This window comes from Homo sapiens, chromosome 8, assembly GCF_000001405.40.
Source record: "Homo sapiens chromosome 8, GRCh38.p14 Primary Assembly".
Taxonomy (NCBI): Eukaryota; Metazoa; Chordata; class Mammalia; order Primates; family Hominidae; genus Homo; species Homo sapiens.
The window spans coordinates 128,323,825-128,344,998 of record NC_000008.11 but is presented as its reverse complement, the minus strand read 5'-3'; the positions used below and the strand labels follow the sequence as shown (position 1 = coordinate 128,344,998).

Genomic DNA, 21,174 nt, shown 5'->3' with positions numbered 1-21,174 from the left:
ATTTCTTGGAGGCTTTGCTCGTTTCTTTTTATTCTTTTTTCTCTAAACTTCCCTTCTCACTTCATTTCATTCACTTCATCTTCCATCGCTGATACCCTTTCTTCCAGTTGATCGTGTCGGCTCCTGAGGCTTCTGCATTCTTCATGTAGTTCTCGAGCCTTGGCTTTCAGCTCCATCAGCTCCTTTAAGCACTTCTCTGTATTAGTTATTCTAGTTATACATTCTTCTAAATTTTTTTCAAAGTTTTCAACTTCTTTGCCTTTGGTTTGACTGTCCTCCCATAGCTCGGAGTAATTTGATCGTCTGAAGCCTTCTTCTCTCAGCTCGTCAAAGTCATTCTCCATCCAGCTTTGTTCCATTGCTGGTGAGGAACTGCGTTCCTTTGGAGGAGGAGAGGCGCTCTGCTTTTTAGAGTTTCCAGTTTTTCTGCTCTGTTTTTTCCCCATCTTTGTGGTTTTATCTACTTTTGGTCTTTGATGATGGTGATGTACAGATGGGTTTTTGGTGTGGATGTCCTTTCTGTTTGTTAGTTTTCCTTCTAACAGACAGGACCCTCAGCTGCAGGTCTGTTGGAGTACCCGGCCAGCCGTGTGAGGTGTCAGTCTGTCCCTGCCTGGGGGTGCCTCCCAGTTAGGCTGCTCAGGGGTCAGGGGACAGGGACCCACTTGAGGAGGCAGTCTGCCCGTTCTCAGATCTCCAGCTGCATGCTGGGAGAACCACTGCTCTCTTCAAAGCTGTCCGACAGGGACACTTAAGTCTGCAGAGGTTACTGCTGTCTTTTTGTTTGTCTGTGCCCTGCCCCTAGAGGTGGAGCCTACAGAGGCAGGCAGGCCTCCTTGAGCTGAGGTGGGCTCCACCCAGTTCTAGCTTCCAGGCTGCTTTGTTTACCTAAGCAAGCCTGGACAATGGCGGGCGCCCCTCCCCCAGCCTCGCTGCCGCCTTGCAGTTTGATCTCAGACTCCTGTGCTAGCAATCAGGGAGACTCCGTGGGCGGAGGACCATCCGAGCCAGGTGCGAGACACAATCTCCTGGTGCACCGTTTTTTAAGCCCTTCGGAAAAGCGCAGTATTCGGGTGGGAGTGACCCTTTCTTCCAGGTGCCGTCTGTCACCCCTTTCTTTGACTAGGAAAGGGAATTCCCTGACCCCCTATGCTTCCTGAGTGAGGCAATGCCTCGCCCTGCTTCAGCTGGCACACGGTGCGTGCACCCACTGACCTGCGCCCACTGTCTGGCACTCCCTAGTGAGATGAACCCGGTATCTCAGATGGAAATGCAGAAATCACCCATCTTCTGTGTCACTCACGCTGGGAGCTGTAGACCGGAGCTGTTCCTATTCGGCCATCTTGGCTCCTCCCCCCAACTATTCTTATTATTATTGATGCTCACAATACTTCTATAAATGTTGGCTTTTTTAGTTCTGTGTTACAAACGAGCAACTGAGGCATTCTGCCCAAATCTTTCTGTGGGTCCCTATTTCTCTCCAGATTTCCTGAACCGGCATATGAGGCTCTTTCAAGCCTCCAAGTCTTATCTTCAGCCATATTGCGACCATCACAACCACTCGCAACTACTTCAACCACACCACGTTTTTTATGCCTCTGTACTTTGGGAGATGCTGTTCCATCTTCATAGAAGGGCCTTCATCTTAGCCACTTGGTGAGCCCCAACTCTTCCTTTAAAATCTTGTTTTATGCTATCTCCTCTGTGAAACTTCTGAGTCTAGACACCATGGATTAGTAACCATGTATCAGTTTGAGCTTGAGCACATGCATAAGTTGTCATTTATTTCATTCCTATTTGTCAAGAGCCATGCACATTCTAGGCACCCAATGTATGTCTGTTGAATGGACTGCATATCTGAGTTCCCCTCTACACTGTGAGCTCTTATTTATCCTTCTTCTTAGCCCCTAGAATAATGCCCTATACAAGGCTGGTGCCCAGTAAATATTTGTCAGACGGATGAATGAATTGATTGTTGGAAGCCAGCCAAGGCCTGGGCATCCTCATAGACAAGTAGATCCAGATGACAAGTAGCACAGTCCCAATCTCAGGGAGCTCCGTAGAGAGTTCCAGTCTTCATGAATATCAGCAATCAAAGGTTAATATTATGAGATTTTTATCTGTATTTTATACCCCGGGGGAAATTCTATGGATGTTCTCATAATTATTGTTCACATCTTCCAGTCATAACATGAAATACAATACATGCTCACCATTTCCCAGAGTCTGTGAGGGACAAATTTCTTGCTGAGGCAATTATCTTTCACAGCTGCTGTCCACAATTTTGTCCAACTCCCATGGAAACCAGGAACATTACCTTAATGTTAGAAGGGACCCCAGAGACAAGCTAGCCCAGCCCTACTGTTTTACAGATGAGGGAATAAATAACTTGTAGAGTTTTCCATTTTTAAGATCATTTTGCTAGGGAGTTTTCTTTTTGCTGGACATGAGAAAATGTAACAACATTTATGAACAATATTTTATCTCACTTATAAGCTTACAAATACATACATACATAGCTGAGAGAAAAAAATATTTTAAAAAATCAAAAGGAAAATTATTATGCAGCCAGGATCTAGAGAGAGAAAAAGAACCTGAGGTACCATTTTACCACTTGTCAATAATAACAGTTTCTATTAGGGAAACCATTTTACACAATAATTTTCAAGCAGAGAGCAGAGTGGTGGTGAGCGCACTTGCACTACCCGTGTCTGAAGCAGTACTGGGTGTTATAGGTAGAAAAGCATGAATCATTTGGTTATATCAAAAATCATTGAGAGAGAAAAACAATTTGTTATCAGGAGCACTCATTCTTTGGGGACTTTCCAGTGGCATCTACAGCCGCCTCCTATTCTGACCAACTCCTACAACTCTGGAACCCAGTTTCCCATATTCTGAATCATCTTGTGTGCCTCCTGTCCCTGCTGCTGGTAAGAGGGCATGAAAAGCCAAACCAGAACTGCCAGGCCTGACCCAAGGATCAGTTCTGAAAAAGCAAAGGACAAACCCAGATGAGAAATAGGGTTCTTCAGGATCTTGTCTTGCTGCTTCATTCATATCATCACATTCTAGTGTCCTCTTTCAACCCTGTATCTTAATCAGGGCAGACTTGTCACTTATTCATATTTAATGACTTTCATGTACTTCTTGTTGCCTGGAATCTCCTATGCTTGACCATTGGCCTGGTCAATTTCCAATTCTGAAGAACTTGGTGCAAGTCTACTTCTATTCCACTTTCCTGAATACAATGTCTGATTTCCAGCTCCTGATGAATACATCCATTATAGCTCATATCACAGACCTGTTTACCCACTGTTTACTTATCTGCTTCCCCAGTAGACTCTGAGCTACTGAAGATAGGGACTTTGTTATACTCCTTGGTGGCCAGCAGTATTGGGCAATGCAAATTTGCTGAATGAATTAATGAAGACATAGAGTCACAGGAAGAAGCCAGAGTCAAGTAGTATAGGAATGGGGAAAATTGTACAGTCCAATAATTTGGGGTAATACAATTAGTGAGGCCTCTTTATGTATAGACTTCTCAGAGTCTTTTGTATGCAAATGTGCTTGGTAAATATACAAAAGATGATATTTACTAAGTACTTAGTAAAGAAGTACTTTCCAACTTATTTGTCTCTGGAACACTCTCTCTCTCTCTCTCTCTCTGTGTGTGAGAGTGTGTGTGTGTGTGTGTATGTGTTTGTGTGTGTGTGTTGCTTCTCTCTCCCAGAAAAATTGCTTAGGAGATGCAGCTTTCAGGCATCTTCATCTAGACCTTTTGCTTTAGGGTAATACCATTACCAGAAAGTCAGTATCTAAGTTATAAGTACAATGTGCAGGGTTGTAAGTGCTACAGCAAATGGTTGAATTGAATTTAGCCAGATGTAAAAGTACTTCAAGTCATTTTTGAGGCTGAAACCCCTACAATGAAGAAGTTCTTCCTCTGAAGTTCTGCAAAATCCATCTGAACTTTTGACCCAGAAACATCTTAGACTCTTAAGGAAATGTTCATACCAAGTCAACTAGCTTTTACTGTTCTCATCTATAGTTAAGTAAAGGGCACCAAAAAACCTCCTAACCATTACATTCATATAACATCTTTTGGGTGCTTTGCATTCAGTGTGGTGAAGGTAATGAGCAAAAAAAGAAAGACAAGAAAAACAAAAAAATACTTTTTGAAACCCTGATAATATTTTCACAAATGATATTTAGCATTGCAAACTAATGCTTCAGGGTTCTGTAAATGTGAAGAATTGAACAGGCAATAACAGATAAGCAATTATGGCATGAGATAAACCAATACTTTAGTTTATAGTCATAAAATTCTTGCCAAAAAGACACAAATGTTTTGATTTCCTCAGATACTATATGAATAAATTAGGTTAAAAAGCAATGTGATTCAGAAATTCATCAAAAATAAAAAATAAAAACATTTACTGGTAACTTGCTATGTGCCAATATTGAAGACGCAAAGATGCAGAAAAAGAAAAGGAAAAAGATCTACTCTCAACAAGATTACTATCCCTTTACACAAATGAATCATAATTAAACAGAAAAATATCTACAACAGGTGCACTATCTGGTTTTTAACAGGACATCCTTAGCACAAAGACTGGCACATATAGATGTTCAATAAATGTTGAACGAATGAGTAACTGAGTGAACAAATGAATAAATATAGGCAGGATTTAAGTGGATGTCTTGACACATCAAGGTAGGGCTTCATTAAGGACTGGGGATTGACAGATACCATACAAATGGTCATCCCCCAAAAGGCATGTTATAGATGCCTGGAGGAGGGTAAGTGGGAGCTTTCCTAAGTCAGTAGGGTGGCAGGAGAAGAGGAGTGTTTCAAGGATGTACAATGACTAGACCTCTCTGATCTGAGGGGAGTTGGGTTGGGATACAGCATTCACACCAGACAGTTACATTGGAAAAGGCCTAAAGGGTCATTAAATGCCATGTTATAAAGCCAGAATTTTATCTTAAAGATAAAAGGACACCAAGGAAGGAAGTTTTTGACCTAAGGAATGATAGACGGATGTTCTTTTTAGGCATAAGTCTGTCTCGTCATGGATTACAAGGAAAAAGAAAATGTGGATTAGATGGATATTGAATGAAAAGACCCTTCTCAAATCTCAAGTCCTTGGAAATATAGATGCAAACCAATGCTTCAGGGTTCTGTAAATGTGAAGAATTGAACAGGCAATAACAGATAAGCAATTATGGCATGAGATAGACCAATATTTTAGTTTCTGCTGCTTAACAGCCATCAGATTGGGGCAAGTTGCTTAACCTTGGCAAACCTCAATTTCCTCCATTGCAAAATGGGGATATTAATAGCACTACCTCATAAGGTTGGTGGTGAAGATTAAATTAGATAATGATTGTTAACTATTTACAACAGCGCTGATCCACAGTAAATGGTCAAAACATACCACCTATTAACACTCGACTTGAAATTGCAATTAACAGTTCATCCACTCAATAGGTCCTCTTTAAGAAGACCATGAATGAATGAACCAGCTTTAAAGACACTAATTCCTCAGTCTTCTTGTAATATTAATATTATGAAACAAATTTTTAGGGAATGTTGTAAATCAGAGTTAATATTTTTGTTGCATTTGAGTCCCCATGATTATATTCTGCAGGGATTTAATTTTCTGTGATACTTAAGGCCTGTTTGTGTCTAGCCTGCTTTTCTCTGTCCTAACTCAATTTCCATTTAGTGCCATCCAAGTTAGAAAAAGGCAATGTCAGCTCCTTCTCAATGTCCACCTGTAGGGACTTGCCTAAAGTCACACAGCCAAGCACCCAATAAGACAGCCAGATCTGGAATGTAGATTTTCTCACTCCCAGGTTGGTGTCCACTCACACCCATGAAATGGTTTTTTCCACTCCCACTAAAGTGTGCCAACTAGGCAATAATACTAATATGAGAGCAAGTATTGAAGCATCTACTTAAAGAGGTATAGAAATGCATGGGTGTTTACTGGCATGTGGCAAATCTATAGTGTTCACTTTCCAAATGAGTCAGATACCCATTAGAATGACTTCATTCAATTTTTGCATTAAATATAGAAAATCTTATACAGCAACCCACATGCAAATATTTAAACTGGTGCTTTTTTAGCTCACAATGCTTTCCCTGTACCTTGTAATCAGCCAACCAGAATCAGTGAAAAAACAATATAAAAGACTAACATTTTTTGTTACCAGTAATTTCCAAGCTGGGGACAACATCATCAGAGGATCTCATCCTGACATCAGTACTTCCCCAGCTGACACAGAAACTCTGCTCTTACAGGGTGGCCCCATATTGTCAAGCACATGACTAAATATAGATCATAGGCTCATGCCTCTTGATCATCAAACACTGCTCCAAAATAATATTCAAGGAGTTGGTCTGGTTTGGGGGTTAGAAGGTACGTGTGGACTCATGACTTTGCCACTTCTCATAAAAAAATAAGAATTATTTCATGAATAAGCTGCCATGTTATGAATGCTCCAATATCCTGTCATCAGCACTGAGCACTACAGTTAGCTCAAAGTATCTATAGTTTTGCCACCAGCACCAGCCAAAGACACACACATCACAGTTTTTTACCATTCCCATGCCTTCTATGTTGTTCTATCTGCCTTGAAAGTCCTACTCCACCCCTTGCCCATGTGTCACCTTCTACCTCAAAACTCAGCTTAAAGGTCCACTTGGTAAGAACATCTTGACTGGCCCTTGGATTCCAAAATCACTTTTCATATGAGCCTTCCATTCTGGCACTTAAGACATTGTGTTATGTGTTGACAAGTCAATTCCACACCAAGCTGTGGTCCACTTAGAAGTAGGAATCATCAAATTCTCCTTTCTAGAGGCCAAAGGAACTTGGTTGCAGCAGCCAACTTTGGAGCAGCCTCACTCCTTGGGAGCTGGAACAAAGCAGACAGTTATTCAGAGCAAACACTATACCGAGAGTAAGCAAAGAAAGCAAATCAGGGCCACGGAAGGTGCCACAGTCAAAGAGGCACCATCAGCGTTACTTCCACAGAGGTAAGGTGAATTCAGTAGTAAAAGGTGAGGACAGATGACGGAGGCCTGGGGTGATACAAAGCAAGTAGGAAAGTGAATATGAAGCGGAATAAAGTAGAAAGGCTTAGGACAGAAGTAAAGTGGAGCAGGGGAGAAGAGGGCCATGTCCAGGGATCTAAGGCTCTCTGGCGATTGCTTAGAGGTAAATGAGAAAGTTGGCCATTGTAAAGGAGCAGGACTGTTCTAGGGACTGTTCCTTTCTACATCTCTGCTACCTGGCACACTACCTAAAGCAAAGCAAGTATTTGAAAACTGTTTACTGAATAAATGAGTGAATTAATGAATAAATCAGTGAATGAATCATAGAGTCTTCTAAGAGTTGACCTACATATTCCAAGAATCTCAGCCTTGCTACTATAGTAAATTGGTCATCTGCTCTTGTAGCAGTTCTCATAGGCCGATTGGTTTGCAAGTTATATATCTGTGTGTCTCCTCTGTTAGATGATTGCCCCAAGAGAGCAGCCATAGAGTTCCAGGACAGAGCAGAATACCATCTCTTGCACACAATAAAGTGTTCCATAAATGCCTATGGAGTTACACTGAACAATATTGAATTTAAATAATTTGCTTTTCAGTATAAATCAGCTTAGTAGTCCGGAAGAAAAGTTTAGATCAAGAGCAAATACAGAAACATTAAAAATAATAAATTGAATAAGTACATGAATTGATGCTCAACATCATTAATCATTAGAGAGATGCAAATCAACATCACAATGAGATACCACTTCACACCCATTAGAATGGCTAATATACATTTTTTAAAACCCCAGAAAATAGGAAGTATTGGCAAGAATGTGGGCAAATTGGATCCCTGGACATTGCTGATAGAAATGTAAAATAGCACAGTTGCTGTGAAAAACACTGTGGCAATTCCTCAAAAAATCAAAAGCAGAATAATCATACGATCCAGCAATTCATTTCTAAGTATATACCCAGAAGAAGTGAAAACAGGAATTTGAACAGATATTTGTATACCCATGTTCATAGCGGCATTATTCACAGTAGCAAAAGGTGGAAGCAACCCAAATACTAATCAACAAATGAATGAATAAGAAAAACGTGGTGTACACACACAAAATAATATTATTCAGCCTTAAAAAGGAAGGATATTCTGGCACACACTTCAACTTAAACAAACTTTGAGGTTATTATGCTAACCAGAAAAAAAGACAGTCACAAAAGGACAAATGCTGCATGATTCCCCTTATATGAGGTACCTAGAGTAGTTAAGTTCGCAGAGACAGGAAGTAGAACGGTGGTAACAGGGGGCTTGGAGCAGGTGGAAATAGAGAGCTATTGTTTAATGAGGATGGAATTTTAGTTTTGTGAAAAAAAGTTTTGGAGATGATGGTGATGGTTGCACAACAATATAAATATATTTAATGCCATTGAACTGTTCACTTAAAATTGTTAAACGGTAAATTTTATGTTATGTACATTTTGCAATAAAAATAAATGTTAGTAGCAAATTTTTTTAAATTGATAAATCAGACTCTAATTTCCTAGAGGCTTATCATTGAGGACCATCTCCCCTCTTTACCACTTTTAGAAAAAATGGCTAGTGATCACCAAAATACATACAACACACACACACATAAATATGTGCAAACCACAATTGCACACACACACATATTCTTATAATAAAGCTTTCTGTAATAAGCCAAAATGGAGGCTCTAATAATAGAAGCCAGAATATCTTACCTCTAAGACTTCTCAGCTAATTAGCTTCCAGTTGGGCAGGTAGTGTTCTTTCATCCTCCAGAATCTCCCACACGTTTGAGAACTAAGGACTCAAAGAGCAGAAGTAGGCTTAACTGTAAGGTCCAACAGGGCCATGAATGTTGAGTCTCTTCCTAGTCTCATAGAAAAAAGAGGCGTTTCCTTTCTTCTCCTACAAGAGACTCCCCTTCAGTACAACTCACTCATAGGCAGACAGAAGGTAGAGAAAGTTCTTAAAGTCACCTGCCCACACAGGATATTGATGGATACCACACATAAGACCACATCATTGTAGCAATGAGACATGGGCTCTGCTCTGGGCAATCCTGGATAGTAGACCCAAATCCCAGATTCACATCGACCCAAGAATTCAGAGAAGGTCTGTGCTTATCATTGGCTTATTAAACAAATAAACCACTGCACAGGCTGGAAAGAAGGTTCCCTTAGTTCCTGCTCACTCTCAGAGGTGTTTCCCCTCCTCCCCACTTACCTTGTCACCCATCACACAAGGTCCAATTCCAGTTCCACCTTGTCATGAATCCTTCTCCTAATCACTTAAGTTCTTAGAAGTTTTATTTTTCCCTCTCCTGACCCCTAAATAATACATTTTGGGTATTCTTCAGAATGAAGATTTATGTAATAGAGTTTCTTTGGAGCTTTTATTGAGTTCTTGCTCTGTGCTCCGTTTTATCCTCAATTAGGATGTGAGCCCCCAATTGAAGCTCACTGCCCTGTCTTCTTGCCCACTTGACACCCCCTGAATTATAGTATATTCCCAGGAATTAGTTAAGAGGTTGAAATATTTCAACAACAGCTTTATTAGGTAAAAATACAGCCTTTTACAAAAACATCCCTTTTTAGTAGATCTTGGAACACAGTTAATTCTCAATAAATGTCCATGAAATGGCCATCTTAGGACAGCAAGAAGTACCCCCTCTGAATGTCATTTTTGTGCCTATCAACCTACTGGGAGGAAAGACAAGAATCCTTATGAACCAGCCTCTTCTCTGGAGCAGACTCACAGACTCCTCCAAGGATCAGAATTGCAGGAAATGTGTACATTTCAGCCCAATTTCCTTTTCCAGAAAGAAAAAGTGAAGTCCAAGGAAGGAGAGTGATTTGTCCAAGATCATCAATGAGTTGTGGGCAGTTCTAAGACTAGTACCTAAGTCTTGACCATGAATAGGTAAGAAATCTAGTCAAAGGGTTTGTAACAGTCCATTTGAAAACATTTTTTTTTGACCTCAGAGAGAAGCTCTCATTGAGTTATTATATTGAGGACATTGCAAATTGACAAGGCTGCATAGAATCTTCTTGCCTTTTACTAAATTTTCTTCCAAAATCCTTACAATTTGAGAAAAATGAATTACATTCCAGAGTCACGGAATGTAGAAAGTTGCAGGAAGGATTTCAGAATGAGGATGAAGATCTTTTCACAACCTGGGTATCCTCTGCATTTCATTGCACATTAAGATAAATAAACAACCCAGGTATTTTCAGAGAAGTAGAGGGCACTTAGCTGCCATGGCATAGTGTGGTAATTTCATTTCTTTGTTAATTGTTGAAATATCTCTTTCAAGTAAGTTTTACTTTGAATGCCTACAATATGCTAGTTGCTGTATTAGGTTGAGAGATCCAGAGATGAATTAGACAAGCCTTCTGCCCTTGTGGAGTGCTAGAGACAGGAAATCAACAAAAAATAGTACTAAACTATGGTAGGCACCATGGCAGAAATTTATAAGATGTCTCAAACCATTCCAGGCACAGAGGAGACACTCGATCAATATTTGTTAAATGAATGAATGAGTGAGTGAATGAATGAGTTAACCAGATTTTGCCTGAGAAATTTAGAACATATTTTATAGAAAAGTTGATACTTAAGCTACATTTTCATTCATTTATTTAAGTGATCAATCATTTATTCTTGTATTTTATACATGATCTGTTACTAGGCACCATGGTATGCTGAGCATACAAAGATGAATAAAGCAAGGTCTTAGACCTCAATAATGAATGATAGACCAATGTGACAAATAACGTTGTATTTGATATATTTGTATTCTTGTCTCTGTGCGTATCATAGAATGTAAGTTCCCTGAAAACAGAAGAACTTATATTCTCTTGTTTCTCTAGGCTCTCTTGAAACACCCAGAACAGGGCTTGGCACCTGGTAAGCACTCCACAAACAGTGTTTGCTTTAATAACGAGTGACTGAATGGACACATGGGTGGTATGTTGACATGACCGTGGGAGCACAGAGGAGCAGCATCTCATCAGCAATGTTTTAGGGGCAGGTGGAAGAAGATGAATCCAAAATGATTGCAGAGAAGTCCCTGTTAGAGAGGTGCAAAGGTAACCAGAACCATCCTAAATGCCAATTGAGGGGACAATTTCCAAAAGGAAAAGATGGTTGACAAGCCTTCAATTAAGAATCATTTATTGATTGATATTTCATGCTCCAAGGCCAGGACTGGGATAAGACAAGCTAGGAGTCTCGGATGGGAGCTCTAAGAAAGCACTCATTCTCAGGATGGTACAAGCACAGAGTCAGCACCTGAGAGTGGCACCTTCTTACATTTTGGGTCCTTAAATACCTCGCTTGCCCCACCCTAGTGCCAGTCCTGTTGGGCCCAGCACTGTGCTAGGTACTTGAAATATAATAGTCAGTAAGACATTGTCCCTGCCCTCAAGAACTTCAAGATTTTTGGGTGGACAGACCTGCAGCTGGTGATTATGATGCAGATGATGCATTCAGACAAGAGAAGGCAGGAGAAATGTGAAGGTATGAGAGACAGAGCATCAGCTCATAGGCTCTGAAAATAAGACTGTGCTTGAGCTGAAACTAAGACACAATCACAAATCCACAGGAGAGGGAGGAAAAGAATTTCTGACCAGGGAACAGCATCTGCAAAGACTAGAGGCCTTGAAAATACATGAAGTGCTTTGAAATGATGAAGTGTGGTAGCCAGAAGTGAAAAAAGACTGGTAGTAAATGGGGTTGGATATATAGGCTCTCGTTATTCATCCTTTCAGGCTGGAACTCCGTTTTTATTTTTACCATTATATCAGTATCTGGGGCAGTTTTCCTTGGAAACAACATGCTGTCTAAATTAATTGGAAGGACCATCAGTCTGCTCGTTCTGCCTGGTCCTGCCCTCTAAGAGAACAGGGAGGAGGCCCTGGCTGAGCCTTTGCTGCTCGGTCAGATGTATTTTTAGCCCTGGCAGAAAATAACAGCAGTGTGTGCATTTAATAAGGAAAAAAAAAAATCGAGCCCTGGGAATGATCTAGTGCCAGTGTTGGAGCAATCAGGGACAGAATATGTTTCCAATTGAATTACTACTGTGGTCATAGTTATAAAAAGAGAGGGAGGAGAAAAATGTCAGGCTGGTCAGTTTCTCGGGAGCATTTAATCTTGGTTCGCTCTAATTTTAACGTTCAAAGACACATGAGCCAACTCTGCCCCAGGAGTTATTTCAGGGGTACTGGCCAATACCCGCAACTTGCAGTCAACACTGGGCAGCTCTACTGCTTGAAGTTGTCTTTCTTTTCTTTTCTTTTCTTTCCTTCCTCTCCAGCAGTTTTGGCCTCCACTAGTTCTTCTGCTCACAAGCTGATGAGACATAGTGTGAATAATTACGATGAGGGTAAATTTAGAACCTGACAAAACTGAAGGATGTAGGACTCAGAAGCTGAGGCTCAGAGAGAGGTAGAGATGGTACAGCATCAAGAAAGAGCCTCGAGGAGTCACAGTACTGAGCTTTCCAACTGCTTCCACATTCAACATCTCCATATTTTAAATTGTCAGAGACCGCACCTCCCAGCCTCATCAGTTTTCCTCCACAGCGTAGTCGCTCTCCTTTGGCTTCCTCCCACCCTTCATCCTATCCTCTACTAAAAAATCATAATAATTAGCTACCTCCTATTGAAGGCCTCCTTTGAGTCAGACACTGGCTGAACAATTGCAGAAGTTATGTCATTTTATTCTTAGACTGACATTAAAAAGTACAAAATGCTAGCAATATGTGACTGAGGAGGAAGCTTGGTGAAGTTAAGTCACTTTCAAAAGGTCACACACCTAGTAAGTGGCAGAACCTGAATTCTGGCTCATTCTAAAGCCCACTCACCCTCTGCCCATGTGTGACCCTAATCTCCCCATTGAAGCCTGTCCTTCGGATGCTGGGCTTCTTCACACCCCCATATCATACACACACCACCCTCACCCTGCAATGCCTCCAACTCTTTTTCTTATAATTTGCTCCTAGAATGTCTCTTTTTGCTTTCATCAGCTGTAGCTTGTATTACCATTGGTATTGGTGATAATAACTATTATATATTTGATACATACTATATGCCAGACATTGCTTGAAGTGCTTTACAGGTATTACTTCATTTAATTTTCTCAACATTCCTAGGTGGTTACTATTATTATTCCCAATTTACAGAAGAGAGACGGATACATAGAGAAATTAACTGACTTACCCAAGTATCTAGAACTGGCTACTGGTAGAACTGGAAAAATGACTCTTGTTAATTGAGTAGTTACCATGCAACAGGCATTGGACCTAGCACAAGGCAGGTATCATTGCACTGAACACTCACAGTAATTGTGAGGCAGCATTATTAGCCCCATTTTACAGATGAGAAGCCTGAGGCTCAGAGACAGTTTTGAGTAACTTGGCAAGGTCACAGAGCCAGGATGGGAACTCAGATATGAGAAACTTTCAAGCCCATTCTCCTTATACACTGCATTATTAGTTGCTTCCATATCTGTTTTCTCAGTACGTTGTCACTTTGTAAGGGAGAAAGCCATGCTTTCTTCATTTCCAACTCCCAGCACTTCACACAGTGCCCTGCTACACAGTGGGCACTCGGTAAATGTTGGATGAGAGGATGAGTAAATACAGGGCATGTGTAACCTCTTTCCCATGTGATATGTTTAAAATGACTTGGGAGGAAAAAGCAGATCAGACACGCAAGGGAAGGACGTTCTAAGGACAGAAAACACTCCCTCCCAGCGTGTTCAGCTCCTGAAGCTGGTCTGGGCTGTCGGGTCAAATCAGACTCACATGAAGGCTATTTTCTTCAACAGATCACCTCCTGTCTGAAAAAAAGGTCCAGCCCTGCCCCTCTGGCCCCTCCTTGCTGTCCTCTGGCCCTCTGAGCGGGCCGGCCCTCACAAGGTCTGGATCCCACATCCAGCCTGTCTGCCGGGAAGCAGATGATAATGACCACACTTCGGGTGGCTCCTTTCAGCACTCCCTGGACCCCAGCAGTCCCCACCTGTGCCCTGAACTATGCTTCTCCCCTGTGACTCTGCATCATGTCCACTGTCAGAAAGCTATAAACACCTATAGGAATAAAAAGCTAAAGTCCTGAAAGAGAATTACACCTGGGGAGCTTGAGAGCGGATGGTGGAGTCCCCAGATAAGCCGCTGCCTCTTCTTCACACCTGTCAGTCTTGACCTCTCAGTCGGTTTCAGGAGAGTTGCACAGAGGGGCCTCAGAGCCCATGAGAGCTAGATTTCAGAGCTGAATTGTTAGTGCTTAGGCCCTGGACCGTGGACCAGCCATTGGCTTCTCTGAGCCTCCTTTTCCCATTAGTAAATCAGGTATAACAATCCCCAAATTGCAAAGTGGTTGGACAATCAGAGGACGTCATGGATGAGACGCAGGAGAGTGCAAAGTTTGAAAACACAGTCTTTGTAGTAGAGGTAGAATCTCAGATCCACGGTATGTGACCCATTATTCCTGCTTGTCTAGTACTGAGAGATTTCCCAGGAGTAGGACTTTGAGTGGTAAGTCTGGAAAATTCCCAGACAAATTAGCATGAGTTGGTCCCCCGAGGGACAATAAACTGGGGACACTAAGTGTTCTTTCCTTACAGGATAAACAATAAACTGGGAACAACAAGTGTTCTTTCCTTACAGGGTGGCCGCAGGATTCTGTGAAAATACATGTAAATTTATTGCTCCCATTTCCTCTGTTCTCTACAATTCCTCCTTGTGTTCACCCACTGACTTCTCTATTGTTTTCTAAACAGAAGAGGCTAGCCATGCTTTTCAACCAGGCAGAGTATAAGTAAAGAAAAACCACGCTGCCCTTTCTAATCCTTGAGAGAAGGTCTCCCTCCTGGGCCCAGTGGCTGTGTAGGTGACTACCCTGTCTTGAGGATGCTGAGTAGCCCCCACGAGTTCACGAGGAACAGATTTTCATGATGCTAAATTTAAGATGATTCCACTTCCCTGCTTCACGCCAGTCTAGTATCATGCCAGCTGGAAGAAGGCCAAAGCAGAACACTTATTTAATGAAATGACTCAGGCCTATAGCTTGAGAGAATAAAGAAAGTAAATAAAATTCTTGAGAGAATAAATGAACTAAACCCTTTTGGGTGGTTCACAAGAAGAACATGTGATGGCACAGCATCACTCATGGGGAAGGTTCATTCCGTCAAGTCTGCTGGGAATGCGGGGCCAACAGGCCCAGGGCCTGGCACATCAACAGGTACCTTTTTAAATGAGTTGATTTTTGAAACCATTTTGACAACTTCATGTGAAGTAGTAATGGTTAAACATATTATTTAAAATGTATTTGTCCACAGATATCTTTTGTCAACTTATCTCTCCTCCAAAAGGTAAGAGCACAAGAGGGATATCCTTTACTTGAAGAGTGAGACCTGTTTTCAAATCCCCCTTCCATCCCTCTCCTCCAGTAACCACCTGCCACTTACTAGTTTTGTGACATTGTGTAAATCACTTACCTTTCTGAATCTTAGTTTCTTGACTTGTAAAGTGGCAAGAATAAGCTTTGCCCATTTACCTCCCAGGCTGCCTTAGGACCAAAATAAATGGTCAATGTGGAAAGGTCAGACACAAGCCTGTTGTTTGAGGCAATGTGTACTAGGTATACACATTGGAGCCATTTATTATTAATCTTGTTCACTGTTCATACTGGTAGTTGCATCAACTGTCCAACTTCTTGGCCTTACTTCTCTCCTCCATATGTACTTTAAATCAGAAAGACCATCATACTGGTAGTTGCATCAACTGTCCAACTTCTTGGCCTTACTTCTCTCCTCCATATGTACTTTAAGTCAGAAAGACCATCATACTGGTAGTTGCATCAACTGTCCAACTTCTTGGCCTTACTTCTCTCCTCCATATGTACTTTAAGTCAGAAAGACCATCATACTGGTAGTTGCATCAACTGTCCAACTTCTTGGCCTTACTTCTCTCCTCCATATGTACTTTAAGTCAGAAAGACCATCATACTGGTAGTTGCATCAACTGTCCAACTTCTTGGCCTTACTTCTCTCCTCCATATGTACTTTAAGTCAGAAAGACCATAGTTTCAAGAACATAGTACGGGAGTTAGAAATCAGGCAGGTCTAGGTTCAAATCTCAGTTCCACTGCTCAGGCTACTTCCATGAGCTTTAGTCTCCTCATCAGTAAAATGGAGATGATAAGATCTATCATACAGAGTTGTAACAAGAATCCAGAGACACAAGTCCTGTATAAGTCACTTCAGGAAAGACAGATTCACAACAGAACCAGAATTCAAACCCAGGACTCTTGACATCCGAAACAGGGATGTGAACATGATAAACATCACAACTACTCCATACCAATGTAGCCTCCCTGCCATTTCCTAAGCAAGTTATTCCCATGCAGGTAAAGCCTTAATTTTTACCTAGTATGAAATGCATATATAAATTGTCACCAACATGCTTAGCATGTTACAAAGCATTACAATGGATAAAAAGATATAGTAAGTACAATGTGTGCTGCTCCTAAAAAGGTTATAATCTATTTGGAAAAGTAAAGATAAATAGATAGATAGATAGATAGATAGATAGATAGATAGATAGATGATAGATAGATAGATAGATAGATAGATAGATAGATAGATAGAGACAGACAGACAGACAGACACACAGAGAGAGACAGAGAGAGAATATAATTCCAAGGAGCTCTGGACCACAATATTAGGATCTAGAATATTCTCTGAGGACAACTCCCACATGTAAGATGATGTGAAAATCATAAGAATAAATAACAATTACAGTATCAGTAGTTGACATCTATAGCATGCCTTCTATGTGCCAGCCATTGCGGTTTAAGTATTTTAGCTATGATATCCTTTTTAATCCTCACAGAAGTCTTAATATTCTCTGTAATTAAACCCTAGTCTAAATACGTAGAAACTGAATCTCAAAACATTATCTTTAGTGAAAGAATCTTATACAGAAGAGAGAACATATGACATGACTCAATTTATATGAAGTCTTAGAATAGAACAAACTAATAATGTGGTTAAAAAAAAACATTGAAACAGTGTTTGCTTCTAGTAGGGCATGGGTGTTGGGGCAGGGATTGACAGAGTTGAGGAAGCTTTGAGTGGTCCCAGGGATGCACATTAGGGGTTGCCTTACACAAGCATACGCATTTTTCAAAACTTACCTTTAGATTTAAGATTTATACATTTGTACATTGCATTGCATGTTCAAAAGGAAAAATGGATATAAAAATATTAAACTCTAGATAATGATTAAAATGCTGAAGTATTAAGAAGAACATATACTGATACTGTAGCTTACTTTACATTTTATTTATGAAATTAGATAGGTTGATGGATGGATAGACCAATGGATAGACCAATCAATAAATATGTGATGATGCAAGTTACAGTAAAAGGATAATGACATAATTTTGTTAGTAGGTATACGACTACTTTCTACTTTTCTCTATGTTTGAATATCCTCATAGTGAAATTTAGTGGAAAATAAGTAAATCCACAGGGGCAAAGTTAGCAAATCCTCATCCTAGTTCTCTGAAGGAAACACACACAGTAAATTTCTGTCCTGTCTCTACAGTGCAGGTAAATTTTAAATAGGGTCTAAATTGGCTGAAAGGCATAACTTTATACGCCTGGGTGGGCCAGGGGATGCAGCCAGTAACATTTTCACGGAGGCAATGCAGACCCTTCTCTGGAGGAGGGCCAAAGGCTCACCCTTGCTGAGTCATTCCTATGCTGAGATCCAGGGACATAGGGAGTGAAGATCAAGTGCATGTGATTATGGGCCTTGTGCCTAGGGAGAGACTGACATCACCAAAGGCTCATCTCTTAGATCATCAAAATGACCTGTTTGCAGTGCCTGGGTGAGGAGGAGGTGACTAGGTGTTCCCGGAGCCAGCAGACAAGAAGCTCAGCCCAAGAAAGCAGTGGCTCCATTTCCCAATGTGATCACATTTTGGCCTTCAGTTAGCTTTTATTTGGTTTGTTATATTCAATAATCCACTCTGCTCTGGTCTCTGGGTAGCTGGGCTTAAGCAGAGCCTTTGTTCAGAATGATATAACAGGCCCTGCTCCTTTCTTAAAATAAGAGTTGTCGGTCAGTGGAAAAAGTATTATCAGAAGCCTTGGATATGAATTCTGGAAATAACTAGCTCTGGGGCTGCATGTGAGCCCTTTACATTATATGGGCTGTGGTTTCTCCAAGGATACACGTACTGTATAAATACTAGATGTAAATTCACATCTGTCCTCGTGAGGACAGAATCTTCACCATATTTATGTCCTCAGAGACTAGCCTAGTACAGTCTCCTGTACAGGAGCACAGGAGGCTCCTTGCAGATGTCGGCTGAACTAAAATGAAGAAACAGCCATGTATGCCTGCATGCTACCGTAAATGCTGATAGATTCGAAATCTGGCTTCTATTATTTCCTGACACTGTAGTCTTACTAAGCCTCAGATGTTTTGCTAACCTATTTTTCATCCTTATAACAACCTGATGAGGTAGGCACTATCACTTCGTTTTACAGTTTGGGAAAACTGAGGTAGTGAGTGGTTTACCAACAGACATGTGAATGGTCTGCCAATCAGCCGGATATCAAGCCACACTGGCCTTGCTTTATAGCCCACCCCGGTTATTTCACACCACATTGATGTCTTATCAAAGCACCAGCAACATTGTCTCTCAGTGTTGCGTTTTTCTCCTTTCCCCATGAGAGACCATACCTAACAGCTTCTTCCACACTTGACTGAACAGGCAAAGCTGTGAAAATACAGGCAAGTGAGCTCTTCTTAGGGAAAATGCCAAACAACCTCCATCCCCAATGGCTGAGAAGGAACAAAGAAACAAATAAATCTACTCTTGATTATGGGCCAGGCACTGCTGCAAGCCAGATCACAATTTTGGGTCACCCACACAGATGAGAAGCCCCTTGTTGGTGACACAAAAAAGCTGCAAGTCACTCAAAAGTGATAGCAAAGGGCCTTCAATACGAGGCCTGATTGATCGAGGCGCAGGGAGAATGTGCTCTTTGTAGACCGTGACAAAACGGCCCCGGTCCATTCATCTTCCCTGACCACAGCCTTTCTCCTTCCCGCTGGGGAAAATGGGCCTCTAATCCAGGGCACAGCTACACCTGCCACGTTCTGTTTCCATGGCTGTGGCTGTCCTGAGATTACTCTTTGAAGAGGAGATAAAAAATGTTCCAGCTGGAAGAATGCTTCCTAATATCTTTATCCTTGAATGATACCTGTGACCTGCAGGAAAAGGGTAAATCGTGCTTTGATGCCAGAAAGTTTATTCTGATAATTAAATTTCATCATTCCTCAAAAGCCACATGATTTTCATCTCTCCCGCTGAAAGAGATTTTGTGTAGGTTTCTAGGTAAATGGCGTCCAGGCAGCCAGTACCACTAAATCACTCAGATTGTGGCCAGCTCTGTGCACAATATATTAGATACCTTGTTGCCCTTAATCCCCACACTGGCCTTCAAGCTAGGCAGGCTTACTCAATGTACAGATGTAGAAAATGAGGTTTCCATCTTAATTCAGAAGAAGGTATTTGACTGGAGCCTTGAAGGAAGAATTAGATTTAAGTAGGCTTCAAATAAGTGGCACAGCATTAGATAAATGACAATGGCACTTAGATGGGTCACTGTGGGTTTGAAGGCCATTGACCAGTTGTGTGACTGTGAGCAAGTCCCGAAACCTTATCTTTGGCAATGGGGATGATGAAAACACCTCTAACCTAGGACTGATCTGATGATTAAATAAACTAATGTGTGGGACAGTGCCTGGTATAAGGAAGGCATTCAACAGAATTGTGATCTTTAATGAAGAAGCAACTAGATACAAAACAAGCCAAAAGCAAAGCAGTAGAGATGAAATGAACTATTACCAGGAGAAGGTAAGGTGTCCGGAAGCAGCCAAGGGTGAGTGACAGAAATGCAGGAGAATTTGCCTGGTTTCAGCGATACATCTGGATTGAGCAAGACCTGGAAGAGAAGTGATTGTAGAAGGGCTGAGTCTAGAATGGCATGGGGAAGAGTCTGGACTTGATCTGGAAGAGGCAAGATGGAGCCATTTCATGTTCTTGAGCTGAGGAGTAGCATGGTGAAAGTAGAGGTATTTGGAGACCTCCTTGGTCTCCGGGATATGATGGCAACTTTGGCATCACATTAGTTGCCAGAATGCTACCAACATTTCTCTTCATTGTCTGATGCTTATAATTCTGTAGTAGTTTTTTTCTCAAAGTATGGTCTGCAGCAGCCAAATCCCCTGGGGAGTCTGAGAAAATTACATAGTTCTAGGCCTTGCCCAAACTTAGGAATTCAAAAACTCTGGTGATAACGCCCAAGAATTCACATGCTTCCAATTCCTCAGATGATTCTTACTCACACATAAGTTTACAAGCCACTTGCCTGAAACAAGGGGTTTCAAACTTGGAATAAAGAAGAATCCTCATCTGTATTATTATAATTTTTGTATTATTATAATCAGGGCACAGTGTTTCCAAGGCTGTGCATAAGTATAATAAACCAAAGATAGCTGTAGCCCTCTTTTAAACTGCCAGACACCTAAAAATAAAGTGAGCAAGGCAACGTGAGTTTAAGCCTCAGAAGAGTGGCCAGAGGAGGGATTACAATTCGCAACTGGTCCCCTGTTACAGAGCAGGACTCTTTAGGCCTATAGCTCATGCCAATTCAGCAGCCTACAGCATATCTCAACTCAAGAGCAGCTTACATTGCTGGCCAAAGAGAGTCCTGGAAAGTAGCTGTGACTCTCACCAGCTCCAAGTTTGGAAGCAAGGTTGCAGAGCAGGAGGGAAGGAGGAAGAGATTCAAATCAAGTTGATAGCATTGACTCAGTACCTACTATGAGGCAGATATCCTGGGTAACTTGATGGACACAGAGGTGGGGAAGACCGAGGCCTGCTCTCATGGGGATAAAATCTAGTGTGATGGAAAACATAAGTAGATGATAATATTAGTGTGAAAAAATGACTATGGAAACAGAGAAAAATAAGAGATCAATTTTAGGTAGTTTAGGAAGGGAAGGCTTTATAAAGGAGGTTTACAA

The 21,174-nt window shown here is 41.3% G+C and overlaps 1 annotated feature.

Annotated features, from left to right (window-relative positions):
* Nucleotides 472–1,060: an enhancer, noted in NCBI's record as "NANOG-H3K27ac-H3K4me1 hESC enhancer chr8:129356185-129356773 (GRCh37/hg19 assembly coordinates)". NCBI's record gives its function as "activates a minimal SCP1, AML or CMV promoter by ChIP-STARR-seq in naive and primed H9 embryonic stem cells {active_cell/tissue: H9 hESC(naive and primed)}" and the evidence as "EXISTENCE:reporter gene assay evidence [ECO:0000049][PMID:30033119]".